Source organism: Homo sapiens, chromosome 4 (genome assembly GCF_000001405.40).
Source record: "Homo sapiens chromosome 4, GRCh38.p14 Primary Assembly".
Classification (NCBI taxonomy): Eukaryota; Metazoa; Chordata; class Mammalia; order Primates; family Hominidae; genus Homo; species Homo sapiens.
In genome coordinates, this window is record NC_000004.12 from 139,828,086 (window position 1) to 139,844,261 (window position 16,176).

Below are 16,176 nucleotides of genomic sequence, written 5' to 3' on the forward strand. Positions count from 1 at the left end.
CATAGGCACCTATAATTAGTCCTCTATGTAGGTTCCTACATACAATTATAGTTAATCATAAACCCATTAACATTTAGAAAAAAAACAATTATAACATGGCTTAGGATGGAGCTGTAATAGCATTTGTGATAGTCAGTGACATGGATGCTCCACATGGTCAGAAAGCCTTGATGTTAGGACACCAGGATCTAGCCTGAGCTTCTTAAAAAGCATAAAACAAAGCAAAACAAAAAAATTCAAGTCAAACATGTCACCAAAGTTCACTTTTCTTTTTAATGGTATTACTACACTAATAGGACAGGGTGTTCTTGAGCAAAGCATTTGATAGAACTTCTTTGTCCATCCCTTTAGACAGAGAGAGCTAAGTGTCCTAGTGGACCTGTACAGATATCACATACACATTGAATCCTACTAAAAGACTAGGCATTGTCTGGATAGTGGAACTCCACGGAATAAACAAAGCCCTGAGCATCATGGAGTTGAAAGTCTAGAGACGCCAAGCAAATGAACAAATAGTTAAATACAACATAATAAATGATAAATGTTGCAATGACAGTGTGGAGTAGGCACTTCATGGAGACGAAGGTTGAAAATGGGCAAGAGAAGGCTTTGCAGAAGATGCACTTCTTTTTTTTTTTTTTTTTTTTAAAAACATAGTTTTATTGTAATGAATTACGGTCTTTACTCACAAAACAAAAATATACATGGAACATTGACTTCAAGGGTTGGTTAGGAAGTGGAAATCTGGTGGCCTCTCCCATTGTCATGGTCCTGACATAGGGCTAAGAATAGGTGATTCCACGCTTGAGCCCAGGAGGTGGAGGTTGTGGTGAGCCAAGATTGTGCCACTGAACTCCAGCCTGGGTGACAGAGTAAGACCCTGTTGAAAGAGGAAGGAAGGAAGGAAGGAAGGAAGGAAGGAAGGAAGGAAGGAAGGACGGACGGACGGACTAAGGGAGGGAGGGAGGAAGGAAAGAAGGAAGGAAGGAAGCAAGGAAGGAAGGAAGGGGAAAAGGAAAGAAAGGAAGAAAGAGAAAGGAAGGAAGGAGTAAGGGAGGGAGGAAGGAAAGAAGGAAGGAAGCACGGAAGGAAGTGGGAAAGGAAAGAAAGGAAGGAGGGAGGAAGGAAGGATGGAAGGAGAAAGGAAGGAAAGAAGGAAGGAAGGAAAAAGAAAGGAAGAAAGAAAGAAAAGAAAAAAGAAAAGGAAAGGAAAGAAAAGGTGATTCCTGAGTTAAACCTTAAAGGACTGAGGACTAGTAGAAGTTTTTAAGTCAGATCAAGTGTGGCCAAAGCATTCCAAGTAGAGAAATAACTGGTGTGAAGCCATGAAGAGCCTGTGTTTGAGGAACTGGCGTGGTAAATCGCAGCGGATGTTATGAGGAAGGGGAAGGAGATGAAGCCAGGAGGCAGATGAGGAAGCTGAACATACCAAGGGGTCTGGATTCCACTGTGCAGTGATGGGCAACTCCACAGTAATTCTGCTCCTATTTGCATTAGTGACTTGTATACTGGCAGAGTAAGCAGGAAGAATGACAATGACAAGAAAAATACAAATCTTACCAGTTCAGGAAAGTATTAATACCCAAATAGATTCACAAATGCTAACTGCTCTTGTGCTGTGCTAGGAAAATCTTGTCTGTATGTGGTTTATGTTATGTTATGTGAGGTTTATAATGGATTCAAGCACGTTTAGGCAGCAAACAAGTTTTGCTAATTTTTATTGAAGTCTGTATTGGTCAAATGACATTTGGAATTTTATACACAGATCTGGGAATATAACTTTTTAAAAAAATATCAGTTATTATCAGCATGTCAGAAAGAGGATAGCCTCTGTGACAATGGGTCAGATGGTCATGTTAACGTAACGAATAATGGAAGGAAGTGGCCATGTCTGAGCTGGGAAAGAGAAGCTAGAGAAATATGAAAGCTTTTGTTAGCTCTCTAGAGGTTGCCTATGAAAAAGGGGTAGATTTACTCCATGTCACAACGTAGGAACAAAGTGGAGGTTATATAGAGATAGATTTCAGCTGAGTGCAAGGAAGGACTTTCAAATCACTCCATATCCAAAAAATGAAACTGGATGACAGGCAAGGACTCCACGGCCATCTCATCAAAGAGTTTTGGAGGAGACTCCTGCTCTTGGCAAGAGGTTAAGTGGAGGACCTTGACAGTCCTTTCTCCCCAAAGATTCTCTAAAATGTCAGTACATCCTGGCTATATCAGATAACTGCAATTTCAAAATAATCAATGATCCTATACAATTTATATCTCTGGAAATCTAGTTCATATTAAAATAATCAATAAATACTTTTGCACGCTGTGCTATTTTTTTTTTTTTTTTTTTTTTGAGACGGAGTCTCGCTCCGTCACCCAGGCTGGAGTGCAGTGGTGCGATCTCGGCTCACTGCAAGCGCCGCCTCCCGGGTTCCCGCCATTCTCCTGCCTCAGCCTCCCAAGTAGCTGGGACTACAGGTGCCCGCCACCACGCCATGCTAATTTTTTATATTTTTAGTAGAGACGGGGTTTCACTGTGTTAGCCAGGATGATGTCGATCTCCTGACCTCGTGATCCGCCCGCCTCGGCCTCCCAAAGTGCTGGGATTACAGGCGTGAGCCACTGCGCCTGGCCTACACTGTGTTAATTTTTAAGGAGGATTAAAAAAAATAAGACACGATCCTATTATTTCTCCTTTCCTCAAGAAGGCATGCCAATGATCCCATGAACAATCACCGGCCTCTTACAAAATTGGGGAGTGATCCCAATTTGGCATTAATTAGGAAGCAGAAATCATTCAGACATAGTTATACTAGCAATGGAGGTTATAATGTACTTTGAGGATACAAAGGATTCCTTTGAGTTATGAAACCCAAACAAAAAAAGCAATATTGATAGAGTGCTTAGGGCATATTGGGTACTCCACATTCTGGCGATAAGGAGATCAGTAAAAAATGAGACATTTTCTCTCCCAAATTTGTATCAATGACACAATCATGGCCACCAAAACCCCTCAGAGAATAGAAGAGGTTTCAACTTTCTCATAATCAAGGGACAATCAATGAGGTCATGGTGAGGAGGTTTCCAATTACTTGTTGCTAAACCAGTATCAGTATCAATTTCATCCACCAGAGATCTATTTCCACCTATTATTTATCATAAAATCCTCAGGGTAAAAATTAACATTAGACTGCTGTTTTTAAACTTTTAATGATTTTTAAAAACCCAAATGAAGACCCTTGGATCTTTTTTGGGAAAAATAACACCTAAAATCTTAAAATAAAAAAATCTAAATTAAGAAAACATTTGAAGATTCACTGACACCAAGTGCCAAACTCAAACCCAAGATCCCAGTTAGAGACTTTAATATTAGACTCTCTTATTGCAGTTAGTTTTCCCATATGATAAATACAACACTGTCTGTTTATTGATAAAGGCCTAGCAAGATATTCTATCCCTGACCAAGAGGGTGTGGTCTTGCTGACTCTAGTGATCAAGCTGAGAACCAGAAGAGTATTTCTCACCTGACAAAGGAACCAAATATATGCACACACCGGAGCTTAACCTTAGACCCGAGCATGGGATCGCCTTCTCCTATGAGTACCCAAAGCCAAGATCCTGGGCGTGTGGCCAGGAGAAAAAAAATCAATTAAACCGAACATGATATCCTGAGGAACAAAGGCCAGCACTATTCCAGGGAGTTGATCCCTCTCACTCTTTTTTTTTTTTTTGAGACGGAGTCTTGCTCTGTCACCCAGGCCAGAGTGCAGTGGTGCGATCTCAGCTCACTGCAACCTCCGCCTCCCAGGTTCAAGCGATTCTCCTGCCTCAGCCTCCCAAGTAGTTGGGATTACAGGCACCCGCCACCACGCCCGGCTAATTTTTTTGTATTTTTAGTAGAGACGGGGTTTCACCATGTTAGCCAGGATGGTCTCGATCTCCTGACTTCGTGATCCACCCACCTCAGCCTCCCAAAGTGCTGGGATTACAGGCGTGAGCCATCATGCCCAGCCCCTTTTTTTTTTTTTTTTTTTTTTTTTTTTGAGACAGAGTCTTTCTCTGTTACTCAGGCTGGAGTGCGGTGGGGCCACCTTGGCTCCCTACAACCTCCACCTCCCGGGTTCAAGTGATTCTCATGCCTCAACCTGCCAAGTAGCTAAGATTACAGGCGTGTGCCACTACGCCCAGCTATTTTTTTTTTTATTTTTATTTTTAGTAGACAGGGTTTTGCGATGTTGCCTAGGCTGGTCTTGAAGTCCTGACCTCAGGTGATCCACCTGCCTCAGCCTCCCAAAGTGCTGGAATTACAAACGTGAGCCACCGCACCTGGCCCCTCCCATATTTTAATAAGGATTGTTTCCCTCAAATGTGCAGGAAGCTTGAGGGAGGAGTTGGGTGTATTTACCATCCGTACCACTCATTCCCCTAGGGTGGGAAGAGAAGCTATAAAAAGTGAAGCACCGTCCACCTTTATTCACTGTTTCTTCCCAACTTCGTTCTTCCCCTGCAGATGGACCTTGTGTTACCCACACTTTCCTCTGGGATTGACCCAACAACAGGAATTGTGCCTGGTGCCTACTTACTAAATCCTCAGCCTCAAAAGTAAGGATGTACAAAAGTCATTACTTAAAAAAAATTTTTTTAAGGTATGACCTTCATATTTAAAGTGAAATGTGCAGAAAGGCAGAGGTCCATACGAGCACATAATCTGTATAAACAAATGAACTCAATGGTTATTAGGCAGTCAGTTTAAGTATCTGATATTTGTCCACATCATCCGCAGTGATCAGCCTGGATTCTTCCTCTTAAATTTTAAATAATAACCTTGGAAGAAGGGAGACGCATCTCCTTTATTTCTAGTTAAGAAAAAACAACAGGCCAGAGAGCATAACAGTAATTTATGATTTTGCTGGTGTATTATCATCCACTAATAAGTGCAACTTGAAACTACCAATTATCTCATAAGAGGGGTATCACCTTTTCTGTTGTGAATGACTACATCGATAAACGGAGGTTCAGCTCCCTCACTCTTCGTCACGTCACCAGCAGCTTCTTAGCAGCAGAAGTGAGCCAACCAGGGAAGCAGAGGAAAAACAAAAACAGTCAACACACAAACACGCAAGTTAGCCCAGCCTCTGGCCCGGGAACCCAGAGAGGGGCTGGGGAAGACAGAGAAAGACAGGGGGAGGGGGCCGCGTGGAAGCGCCTAGAGCAGTCGGCAGGTCACACACACGCGGTGCTCGGCGGCAAACTCAGTTTACAAAGAGACATCTGTTCCATTACTCCAATGCATTGTGGCTAATTACATCCTGGCCCGTCTGTGAAATGACAGCCACTTATTCTCCAGTGAACCGTAAAATCTGTACATGTTCGATTTGGGGAGTGGGAGAGCAGAGGCGTGGAGGCTAGAGTGGGAGGAAGAAGGGGGGCAGCCAAGGGGAAAGAGAAAAGACAGGAGAAAACCGAGAAACAACACTTTCTGGCAAGATCATCACAACCCTAGTGGAAGGAATATGATGAGAAATACAGTGCTTCGACTCTGAGTTCGAGGCCCTAAGTTTACCATGCAAGAATTTATTCTCACAGCTGTTGCTTTTCCTTGTTATTCAAAGGCTGCAGTGCCAAGGGGTGGCCGCTTGAAGGTCTCCATCATCATTACGCAGGGGTTGTGGCTTGGGGATAGACCGACTTGCCCATTTGCTTCAGTCCCCAGGGGCTACTGATGGGATGGGGGTGGGGGCTCTCCACCAGCTCTTCAGAAGAATGAATCACAGTATCCCTTCTCACACGGGAACCTGAATTAGCAGAAAGCCTCTTTAATAGATTGTGCTTAGGCTGGGGGTGGGGCTTCCTGAAGAGTGGGAAGAAATTTGGGATCTTTAAGAGGAAAAACCAGTGAAAGAAGGGGAAAAATCAGGTTGGGGGCAGGGGGATGCTCCCCCTGCTTTCAGTTGACATTAAAACTTTATCCTAACAAAAACCCAAAATCACTTATGTAACTTTGTGACAGGCACAAGGGAAATAGAAATGGCAAATAGAGAACGCTGCCATTTTGAAATGAGACTTCAATCCAGCGTGGGTTTTAATAGGAAACTTATCTTCATTCCTACACAAAAGCTTTCTGCTAGAGGACTCACACACTTCTGTTGGAATCTATACTAGACACAACTGATGATATAGTGGTGTGCTACTGTGGTTAAACATTGATCTTTCTTCCTCTTGCAACAATACAATACTGTATTCTGTGGATCACAACTGTGGGCCTGAAAGATCTGGCAGCTCTCTGGAGGGAGGGGTTACCCAGTAGCTTTGCACCAGCCACTAGGCAGTTTAGTGGCGGTAGCACGTAGACTGGGCCACTTCTGTATGTGGCCTGGGGATCCCCGTGGCCGGCCAGCGCCCTCTGTAAGACAGCGCTTCTTGAAGGTGCGTTGCAGTCACTGGGAGCTGGCAAACGCAGATTCCAATTCAGTAGGTCTGGGCTAGGGCCTGAGCTTTGCATTTCTAACAAGTTCCAAAGTGATGCTGATGCTGATGGTTCCCTGGAGAATACCCTCCCTCACACACACCTGCCCAATCCTCATTAGGTTGGGCTAATGTGGGGAAAGGTTGGAATATAGCACAGTTCCTCCAACATGAAGCAGTGCATTTAATTGCTCTAGGAATTTTACTAATTTTGAGTCAAAATAATTTTAACAACTCTGTATCAACCACGGAGATGTCATAAAATTGATCAAAGGGTGACTACCCCTTTCTGGGAGAAGGGGGAGGGAGGGTTAAGTCTAGTTAGAGAGAGGGTATGAACCGTGAAATAGGCCCTGATTTTATGTTTACTCCAAGAAGTTAATTTTGATCACTGCAAAGGGAAAAGTAATCTTAAAAGAGTTCTGGACTTTCATTCATGTTGTACTAATATGTTTCCTGTTGGCTGAGGAAACAAGCAGCTCTGGCAAAAATCCCACTTATAGGGAGAGGGGAACAAGACAAGGGGGATCTCCCCACTTCTGATGTGTGTTCTTGCATAGTGTTTTGGATTTAACTAGAATGAACTAAAGTTTAACTAAAGTAAATGTTTTCACTAAGAGCAGGGGCTGAAGAGAGGTGACCCCTTCATCCCAGCTCAGGGATGGCCCTGTGTGTCAGCAGTGTGCATAAGCACGCTTGGTTGCATGCATGTTTATACTTCTGTCCCAAGTTGGTAGTGAATGAGTTTTAGTTTATGCCTCAGGGCGCCTGATATTATGCTACAAATTCTAAGTGTTCAATGAACACTGCTGACTGACTAAAGACATGTGAGCTCAGCTTTCATTTATTATTTGAGGCGTCCCGAGGCTGATTTTGTTTCAGTTCTTGTTATATTCCTTCCAGACTCTGAACCTATGGCTTTCTATGAACCAGAAAACAGACTAGTCCATAACTGAGGTTAAAAGTCCATTCTGGTGTGGGTCCTAATATACAGATACCCATGATAATACTATACAGACTGGAAAAATAGTTTTAAGGCTGAAAGGAGACTAGAGATGATCTAATTTGACTTCTCCAATTTATCAACGGGGACCTGCCCTATTTTTACTCGGTGGCCTATGGTCATTGAGGCTAAATGAGTAACTAGGTAGGGTGAGGTCTTTGACTTGAGAGTTTTTTCTGTTGCATCCTGCTGCATGTCCCCCAAAGTTTCATATAACTTTTCCAAAGAAGGCCTTAATTTTCTTCATACAATGACAGAAGAGTCAAATGTTATCTTCATGAAGGAACTGATTGTGGCTCAAAGGAAGTCAATTTAAACGCAAAGATGATGGGAAAAATTCCATCTATATAATGGAAAAGAGAATAACATTATAATTCAGGGAGCTGAGACTCAGGAATACATTTTGATGCTTACTCATGAAGGTGCCTGGTGAGGGGTCTGGGGACTGCACCACAGGGGGCCAATGGGACTGTGCAGGAGACAGCGGATGACACAGAACCTTATCAGGGAAGCCAGTAAAGGTGGTAGATCATGTGACCCTTGGCCCTCTAGGGCTGAAATGCCAGTAAGAAGATATTGAACCTCACCATTCTGTCTCTTCACTTTCACGGCAGTTTCTATAGATAAACTACATCATAAAGTGAACCAAAATAACAGACACATAAATAAACAGGTAAATTCACACAGGACCCCAAAGGTGTTATAGAGACCAGACACACATCTACATTTCAGCTCCTCAATCAATTTGTCTGTTTCACCCGCCTATCGTCTGCCAGCTCATCAGTAAATGAAAAAAGCTAGAAGGGGCAATTGGGAGAAAAGCATCAATGCCATAAAAATCACAGACCTCTGCAGTATAGGATTACTGGGGCAGGAGGTAGGGTGGTGACAGGAAATACCCTCAGAGGGTTGTTATGAGAACTATTTCCAATTCAAAACAACAATGATGATCCTCTTTATTCAATTATCAACTTCTGCTGTCTTAATGCCATGTTTTGGGGAGGTCAAATTACCAATTAAAAATGGCATACCACAGTTCCAGCAAGCCAGCCCCAGGAGGTTAGCCAAGTGCTGGAGCCCTCCTTTGATAGAATGGCGAGGGGCCTTTCTGGCTTCCTGGCTCTTGTGCCCTTCTCCAGAGATGTAGGAATGCTGGAGAGCCCGGGCCTATGTTGTTCTTGGTGGAATACAGCATCATTCACACTTACTAAGTTGCTACTGCTATTTGGCTATTTCTCTTAGACAGTATGAGAAACTTTCAGATCTTTAATTTGCTAAAGAATTACTACCTCTGGTCGGGTGCAGTGGCTGAAGCCTGTAATCCCAGCACTTTGGGAGGCCAAGGAGGGCAGATCACCTGAGGTTGGGAGTTTGAGACCAGCCTAACCAACATGGAGAAACCCCATCTCTACTAAAAATACAAAATTAGCCGGGCTTGGTGGTGCATGCCTGCAATCCCAGCTACTCAGGAGGCTGGGGCTGAAGAATCACTTGAACCTGGGAGGTGGATGTTGCTGTGAGCTGAGATCATGCCATTGCACTCCAGCCTGGGCAACAAGAATGAAACTCTGTCTCAAAAAAAAAAAAAAAAAGAAAAGAAAAGAAAAAAAAAGAATTACTAACTCCAATACTAAGCCCAACACCATCCCTATCAAAATCACTTTTCCTGGCCGGCGTGGTGGCTCACACCTGTAATCCCAGCACTTTGGGAGGCCGAGACGGGCGGATCACGAGGTCAGGAGATCGAGACCATCCTGGCTAACACGGTGAAACCCTGTCTTTACTAAAAATACAAAAAAAATTAGCTGGGCCTGGTGGTGGGCGCCTGTAGTCCCAGCTACTTGGGAGGCTGAGGCAGGAGAATGGCATGAACCCGGGAAGTGGACCTTGCAGTGAGCTGAGATCATGCCACTGCACTCTAGCCTGGGTGACACAGCAAGACTCCATCTCCAAAACCAAACAAACAAACACACAAACAAACAAAACAAAATCACTTTTACCGCAAGAGCACAGTTCAGCAATCAGATAAGGCAAAGAAAGGCACTTTCTCCTACATCACAGGAATATTTTATAATACTATTATAAGGATAGGCCAGGCACTGTGGCTCATGCCCGTAATCCCAGCACTGTGGGAGGCCGAGGCAGGCGGATCACCTGAGGTCAGGAGTTCAAGAGCAGACTGGCCAACATGGTGAAGCCCTGTCTCTACTAAAAATACAAAAATTAGCTGGGCATGGTGGCGCATGCCTGTAATCCCAGTTACTTGGGAGGCTGAGGTAGGAGAATTGCTTGAACCTGGGAGTTGGAGTTTGCAGTGAGCCGAGATCACGCCACTGCACTCCAGCCTGTGCTACAGAGTGAGACTCGGTCTCAAAAAAAGAAAAGAAAAAAATATATACATATATATTTATATGGATAATGAAAATCTTTTTGGCTGGGTAAATAAGAGTCATTCTGTACTGTCTGCTTAGATGGAAAGGCTTGAGCATAAGCTGGCTGGGAGATCTATTCATGTTAGATGAGGCTCCCAGCGAGAGCATGGGTACATCGGCCAAGCCTGGGTTGGGACATGTTTTCCCAGATCACCATTATAGGATGACACAAGGTAGCTGGAGGCCACCTTGTATGTGCTGTTCTAACAAGGCTCCCTCTGTTAATAAAGGAGATTTTCATTTGGTCCCAAGGCTACTCTTAATTGTGATATTAGCATGTAAGTGGATCTACAGTTAATTTTCGACCAGGCACTAGATTTTTAGCTTTATTTTGGGGTTTATTTCCTTGAAAATACTGCATTTCGGCAGTATTGCCCTATCTTACAGATGATTCCCTACCCTTGAGATATTCCCTCTGTCTCATATCATTTGGAGTCTAATTTTGGGGAGGAGCGTATCCATTAGATATTGCTCAATTCATCTTTTTCTTCACCCCTGAGCCTCCCTGCTTTGTTTAGTTTGAGGAAAGCAAGCCATTTTTTCTTAGAAAAAGGAATCTTAAGCTTAGTAAAATGCATTTCTGAGAACAAGAGATTCTGAAAGTGTTGCTGTTCAGGTCCCTGAATCAAAAATTTTTATTCCTGGTTCTTCTAAGATGCTTTTTCCATTCTTTCTCTGGTAAATTGGTTGCACTGTCCAAGTTTTCCATAGGAAAAATGGTGTTCTGCTATGTTTGGGACAAGATACTGTTCTGCATGTTCTATTTCCTTTCATCCTAGAATAGAAAAACTTTTATTATTATTATTGTTACTATAAAACACGCACTGCCACTTTCAAAGCATCCCCACAGAATCAAGATGTGGTGTCCTCCTCCCTTCCCTTGATTTGTAATGGTGAGGTTAACAATGGTGTTGTGGTTTGCTTGGCCCCTTGACATAGTGTCAGCAACATAGTTCTAAACAGATTTCTGAGATCTTCTCTTCTGACCCTTGGCTGAAGTCACTTGAAAACATTTACCCTAAAAAATTCAGGTGGGCTAAGTGCCAAGCCTTAGCCAAATCCTCAGTCAAGCTTAAATGTCTTAAGAGAGCTGACTGCTTGAAGCCAGGTGGCTTGCACATCTGCAAGTCTGATTCATGGACACCACTTGCCATCAAGAACGCGCTGGCATCATTCCTCATCAGAGCAGCCTGTGAGCCCCACACACGCCCCTCCCCACTCATCACAAGGAACAAGGTCTAGGTGAAAGATTCAGACAGCAGCACCGGATCCTCTGTTGGCATCAAAAGTCCATTGCTGTCCACCATGACATAAATCAGATCCTCCGGGAGCAAGGGGGTTGAGGGGCAAAAGTACTCTTGAAACACCACTACCAGAATGGGGGGCTAAGGATCAATTGCTTTTGCCATGTTACCCACACCTTCTCAAATACAAATCATCGTGAACTAGCTCATCTTCTGCTATACAGCACCCCATCCAAGTCCAACAGATTTTTTTTTTTTTTTTAATGGAGGGTTCTTTCGTTGGCATTCCTTTTCATCCTTCCCCAAGAGGAATCAACTTAGGGAGCAGATATGCAGCGTGTGTGTACACCCAGCATGTGTTTTCTTGTTCCCACCCTACATTGTTTGTTGAAATAAATATGGAAATAAGGCTGAGCAAGACAGCCAAGCCAGCCAAACTGAAATAAATTCATCACTCATGGGCTCTCAAGGGATGGAAACCGTGCATTTTTTTCTAAATGATTATTTCTGAAGCACTGAAGGAATGGCTATATCACTAATGAGGCCTGTACGCCATGACTGCTGATTATAAATGACCTGCAGAGAGACAAGGAGATAGTGGATATGAAGGGGAGATGGTGGCATGGAGGCGAGGGGAAGCAGCTGCTGTGGAGGCTGCAGCTGCTGGTGGCCAGCAGTGGGGATTACTATCCAAAAGCAACTCTCCCTGCTTTTCTGACCCAGCAGTAAGCCCTCAGAAGAGCATATAATTATTCTGTGTGAATTCAAGTGAGTGGAAAGGGGTCAAAAGCCCCCCAAAGATAGAAAAACGTCTTCTGTATAAGTCTGTATATCACCATGACCATCTCTGTCTTCCTGTGCATGGAAATTCTTGGCAGCATCCCAGGATCTGGAAAAGACCTGGATGGAGACTGCAATGACATATAAACCACACTAAGACACTACATGGTCCCCTGGCTTCTGGCCCCTGGGATCCTCCCTTCATAGCTACGTACTGGGCATACAGAAAAAGAAAGTGCAGATATAAGCAGCACAGTTCATAAGTGGGATGAGAGCTCTCCACAGAGCAGTTGGTAAATTCCAGGCCAGGTGGACAACACTGGACTTGCAAACTAGGTATCCTAATGCTTGGACTGATCAAGCCATGACTGATCTTAACAAAACTTCTCAGAGCTTCGTGATTCGGTGGTACTCTTACTTCACATGATGGGCTTTAGGGAAATGCCAAATACCTCCTGGCATGACCCAGCAAGAATCACCCAGACAGAAGCCCCGGTGCAGTGTGAGCAGCGGCTAGATGAAAAGGCCTGGCAAGGGGTATTCTCGACAAATGAAGGGATCCAGTTCCCAAGGGCAAGGGCAGGATAATGCGGTAGTTGCTTTTCAAAATGAGTGTATCATTGAACTTGAGAAAATGCACTAATTATCCTTACATCCTTATGAACAGGTGGAGGTGGGGAGGAGCTTTTGCAGCCTGTTGAACTAAGAAGCTGTGACAGGGCGTGAGATATGTCAGCAATGCTGGTGGTGCCAGAGGTTTCTGAAGGTAAGGAGGATGTTGCTCTCTCTGCCATGGTGGCCAGCGAGCCCTCACACAACATTATGAAAGGTCTCCAGAACCTTCTCAATTGCCGTGTGCATTGTCCTGCACATAGTTTCATGGACATAGAGTCACATGTGGCAAAAGTGAAGGCCTGGGCTCTGGCTCTTAATGCAACAAGCACTCTGGCTGCTCTAGGTTATCAGCAACTCATCTGGTCACAGTGATTGCAAAATGAACCAAGGATTCTGGGTGATCATCCTCCATATCCTAAATGACTAAAGGGATAACAACATAGAACCAAAAGATATGTGGCTTCCAGCATTATAAGGGAAGTATGGTCACCAAATTTATCAAGGCAATACTCATACATAGGGAGGCAAAAGGAGAAAGACATAAAGGACTAATTATAAAGGTTTACTTAGCTTACTTCCACATTTTAGCCTTGCTGCTGTGCAAGAAAAACACATGCATTTAACTCCCTCTCTGCAGACCTTTTGGGCAACGAAGAGCCACACATCAGCAAAAAGAAAAGCAACAAACAGCAGGCCCCAACATTCCCATTCTTCATCACTGGGGTGAATGCTATGTCCAGCTCTTTCTCTCTCATCTTCTTCATGTAGGGTCAAGGAACAAACAGGGGTTCTCAAATAATCAAACGAAGAAAAGATTTAAAAATCACCCATTTCAAGATGCAAGCGCCTTGCCTTGCTGCTTCCAACAGGAGAGCAGAGAGAATCCCACCAGATGCTGCTTCACTATCGGCGCTGACGCTTTCTAATGAATCTGACCCCTGGCTGCAGCTCTAAAAGGGTGCAGCAGTGTGTCAATGTAAACAGCTAAACCTAGTGTCACGTCAAGTGGTAACAAGGCCACTGCTGGTTTTTTACAAGCGCTGTGCACTTAGCAGATAAAAATGAGCATCCTATCGCTGGTCCCCACAAGTCACACTTATCAACAGTGAGAAGAAACAATGCTTTGTCTGATAGGTGTTGCTTGGTGCCAGTGACAGGAAGTTACATTTCTTACAGGCTGCCCATTAGCATAATGAAAAGGCAAGTAACAGCTGCATTAACAAAATCTTTTTACATGTGTCCACGGTGAGCAGCGCAGAGCTTCCTGATGTTCCCTCTAATAAAGAGAACTAATTACCCTCCACAGTGCCACCTGGGCTAGAGACAACCGATGTCAGGAAAGGGCTTTGACAAACACATTTATTTGTCCAGGACCAAGTCCAGGGCCAGCAACCCCCATTCTTCCTGGTATCAGAGTGGAGCCAGATGCACACAGGATCAATAAAAGGTCCAGAGTTCACTGCAGGCTGGGGGCAGTACCTGCAGACAAGGCATCCCCTGGGAAGACTAGGGCTTCCAGCCTCTGCAGGGGTGATGCTTTCAGAGCCCACACGGAGTACAGATCAACCTGGGCACTGTGACCTGATATTGGGTTGAAGTTCCCATCTGAAACAAGCTGAGAGGTTTGAGGATGCCAAACAAGGAGTTTAAAAGGGAAGGTTGTTTTATTCATGCGAACATACCTGCTTTTTAATAAAACAATGTTAAGCAGATAACTATTTGTTGACATTATTATCCCCTGATTTTACATACAAGGAAACTAATTATGGAATGGGTAAGTGACTGTATCACATATCTAAAAACAGAAAGAGAAGAGAACTCACGTTTACTGCATTCATGAGCATCTACTCATTATCTAGTTTAATTCTTCCCACAATCCTAGAAAGGAGGCATTTTTATTTTTATTTTTATTTGTTTTGAGACAGGATCTTGCTCTGCCACCCAGGCTGGAGTGCAGTGGTGCAATCTTGGCTCACTGCAACCTCCGCCTCCTGGTTCAAGTGATTCTCATGCCTCAGCCTCCCAAGTAGCTGGGATTATAGGTGTGTGCCACCACGCCCAGCTAATTTTTGTGTTTTTAGTAGAGATGAGGTTTCACCGTGTTGGTCAGGCTCGAACTCCTGGCCTCAAGTTATCCGCTTGCCTTTTTTTTTTTTTTTTTTTTTTTTTTTTTTTTTTGAGACAGAGTCTCACTCTGTTGCCCAGGCTGGAGTGCAGTGGCGCCATCTCGGCTCACTGTAACCTCCGCCTCCTGGTTCAAGTGATTCTCTTGCCTCAGCCTCCCGAGTAGCTGGAATTATAGGTGTGTGCCACCATGCCTGGCTAAGTTTTGTATTTCTAGTAAAGTCGGGGGGTTTTCACCATGATGGCCAGGCTGGTCTTGAACCCCTGACTTCAGGTGATCCGCCTACCACAGCCTCCCAAAGTGCTGGGATTACAGTCCCCAGTCACCACGTCCAGCCAAGGCCAGTTCCTTTTGTTAGCTGCAGACGCTTTCTCCAACTTCTTTTCCCTCTAAAGAGAAGGTAAGACTAAACTGATAACTTATGGCATCTGTTCCTCCCAAAAGCTCTACGTGTACCCACCTGATAATGGGGCTTTGGCAATTACCTTACTGCTTCCAACCCAAGTCCTCAATCTACTATGGAGCTCAGCATGCGAAGAAAGGTGACGCCATCTATCTTTTGCCCAAAGCTGAGTACATACTAAGATGTGTCTACTCTCGGGTCCATGTGCTCAAATTTAGAAAACACACCAGAAAATAACTTGATATATCACAATTTTAGATTTACTACCTAGTCCCAATACAGGGAATTAGAATATTTCCAAAATCCTGAACTCAAATCCCAACTTACACTACTGACAGGTCTTAATTACCCATGTTTAAGGACAAGGCAAAAGTAAAACCCAAAACCTGATGAATTAACATTCATAATAAGTTAATCTAGCCCATATTTTCCCTTCTTAGTTCACCAACTGTTTTGCTAGAAAATTTATAGGATTACCTGTTCATAGATGTAGGTAATTATATACAGTTGGGGTTTCTCTAGAAATGACTCCTGAAGTATCTTAATTCGGAGTCTTCTAATGAAATTGCTACTATCTCCAGTTTAATAACCAAATTATTACTGTCCTGCTTGGTCTGATCACGTCCTAGTCTGGACCTCAGCTTCTGTTTCAAAAAATGAGCATTTCTTCACTTCCTGAGACCTCACTGTTTGGGTCTGATGAAGCAACTTCCCATGGACGGCATTGTAGCCATCGAGAGAAACCCCACTCACCAAAGGAGAAAGCTTGGCCCACAGGGCCCCTGGGAGGTGCCATTTTCATCTTCTATTGCACTGCGCTGACATTTTTAAATTATAATGACTCCATATCCCAAATGAGTCCTAAGAACATTCTGAATCAGCTAATTAATAAATCAATTGCTCTTCAGGATGGCATTTATCAAATTCACAACTAATATGTGAGGTGCGGGTAGAGTGGAAGTCTGCAGCTGCTACACCTCTGGCTCTGGTAGGACCCAGCTTGTTCCAAAACCTCTGTTGCACTCTGGCTGTAAGCGAAACACCTTCAAGTTTCTATGCATACTATTTGAGTCCATTGGGATACAATTTCATCATCAGAGACAACATCTTATGCA

The 16,176-nt window shown here is 43.9% G+C and overlaps 1 protein-coding gene across 2 annotated transcripts in view, besides 1 other annotated feature; it reads right to left on the reverse strand.

The window, feature by feature from the left end:
• Nucleotides 1–16,176, reverse strand: part of MAML3 (mastermind like transcriptional coactivator 3) — a 437,432-nt gene that overhangs the window by 111,333 nt on the left and 309,923 nt on the right. The gene's annotated exons all lie outside the window — the stretch shown is intronic.
• Nucleotides 4,642–5,160: an enhancer, noted in NCBI's record as "H3K4me1 hESC enhancer chr4:140753881-140754399 (GRCh37/hg19 assembly coordinates)". NCBI's record gives its function as "activates a minimal SCP1, AML or CMV promoter by ChIP-STARR-seq in primed H9 embryonic stem cells {active_cell/tissue: H9 hESC(primed)}" and the evidence as "EXISTENCE:reporter gene assay evidence [ECO:0000049][PMID:30033119]".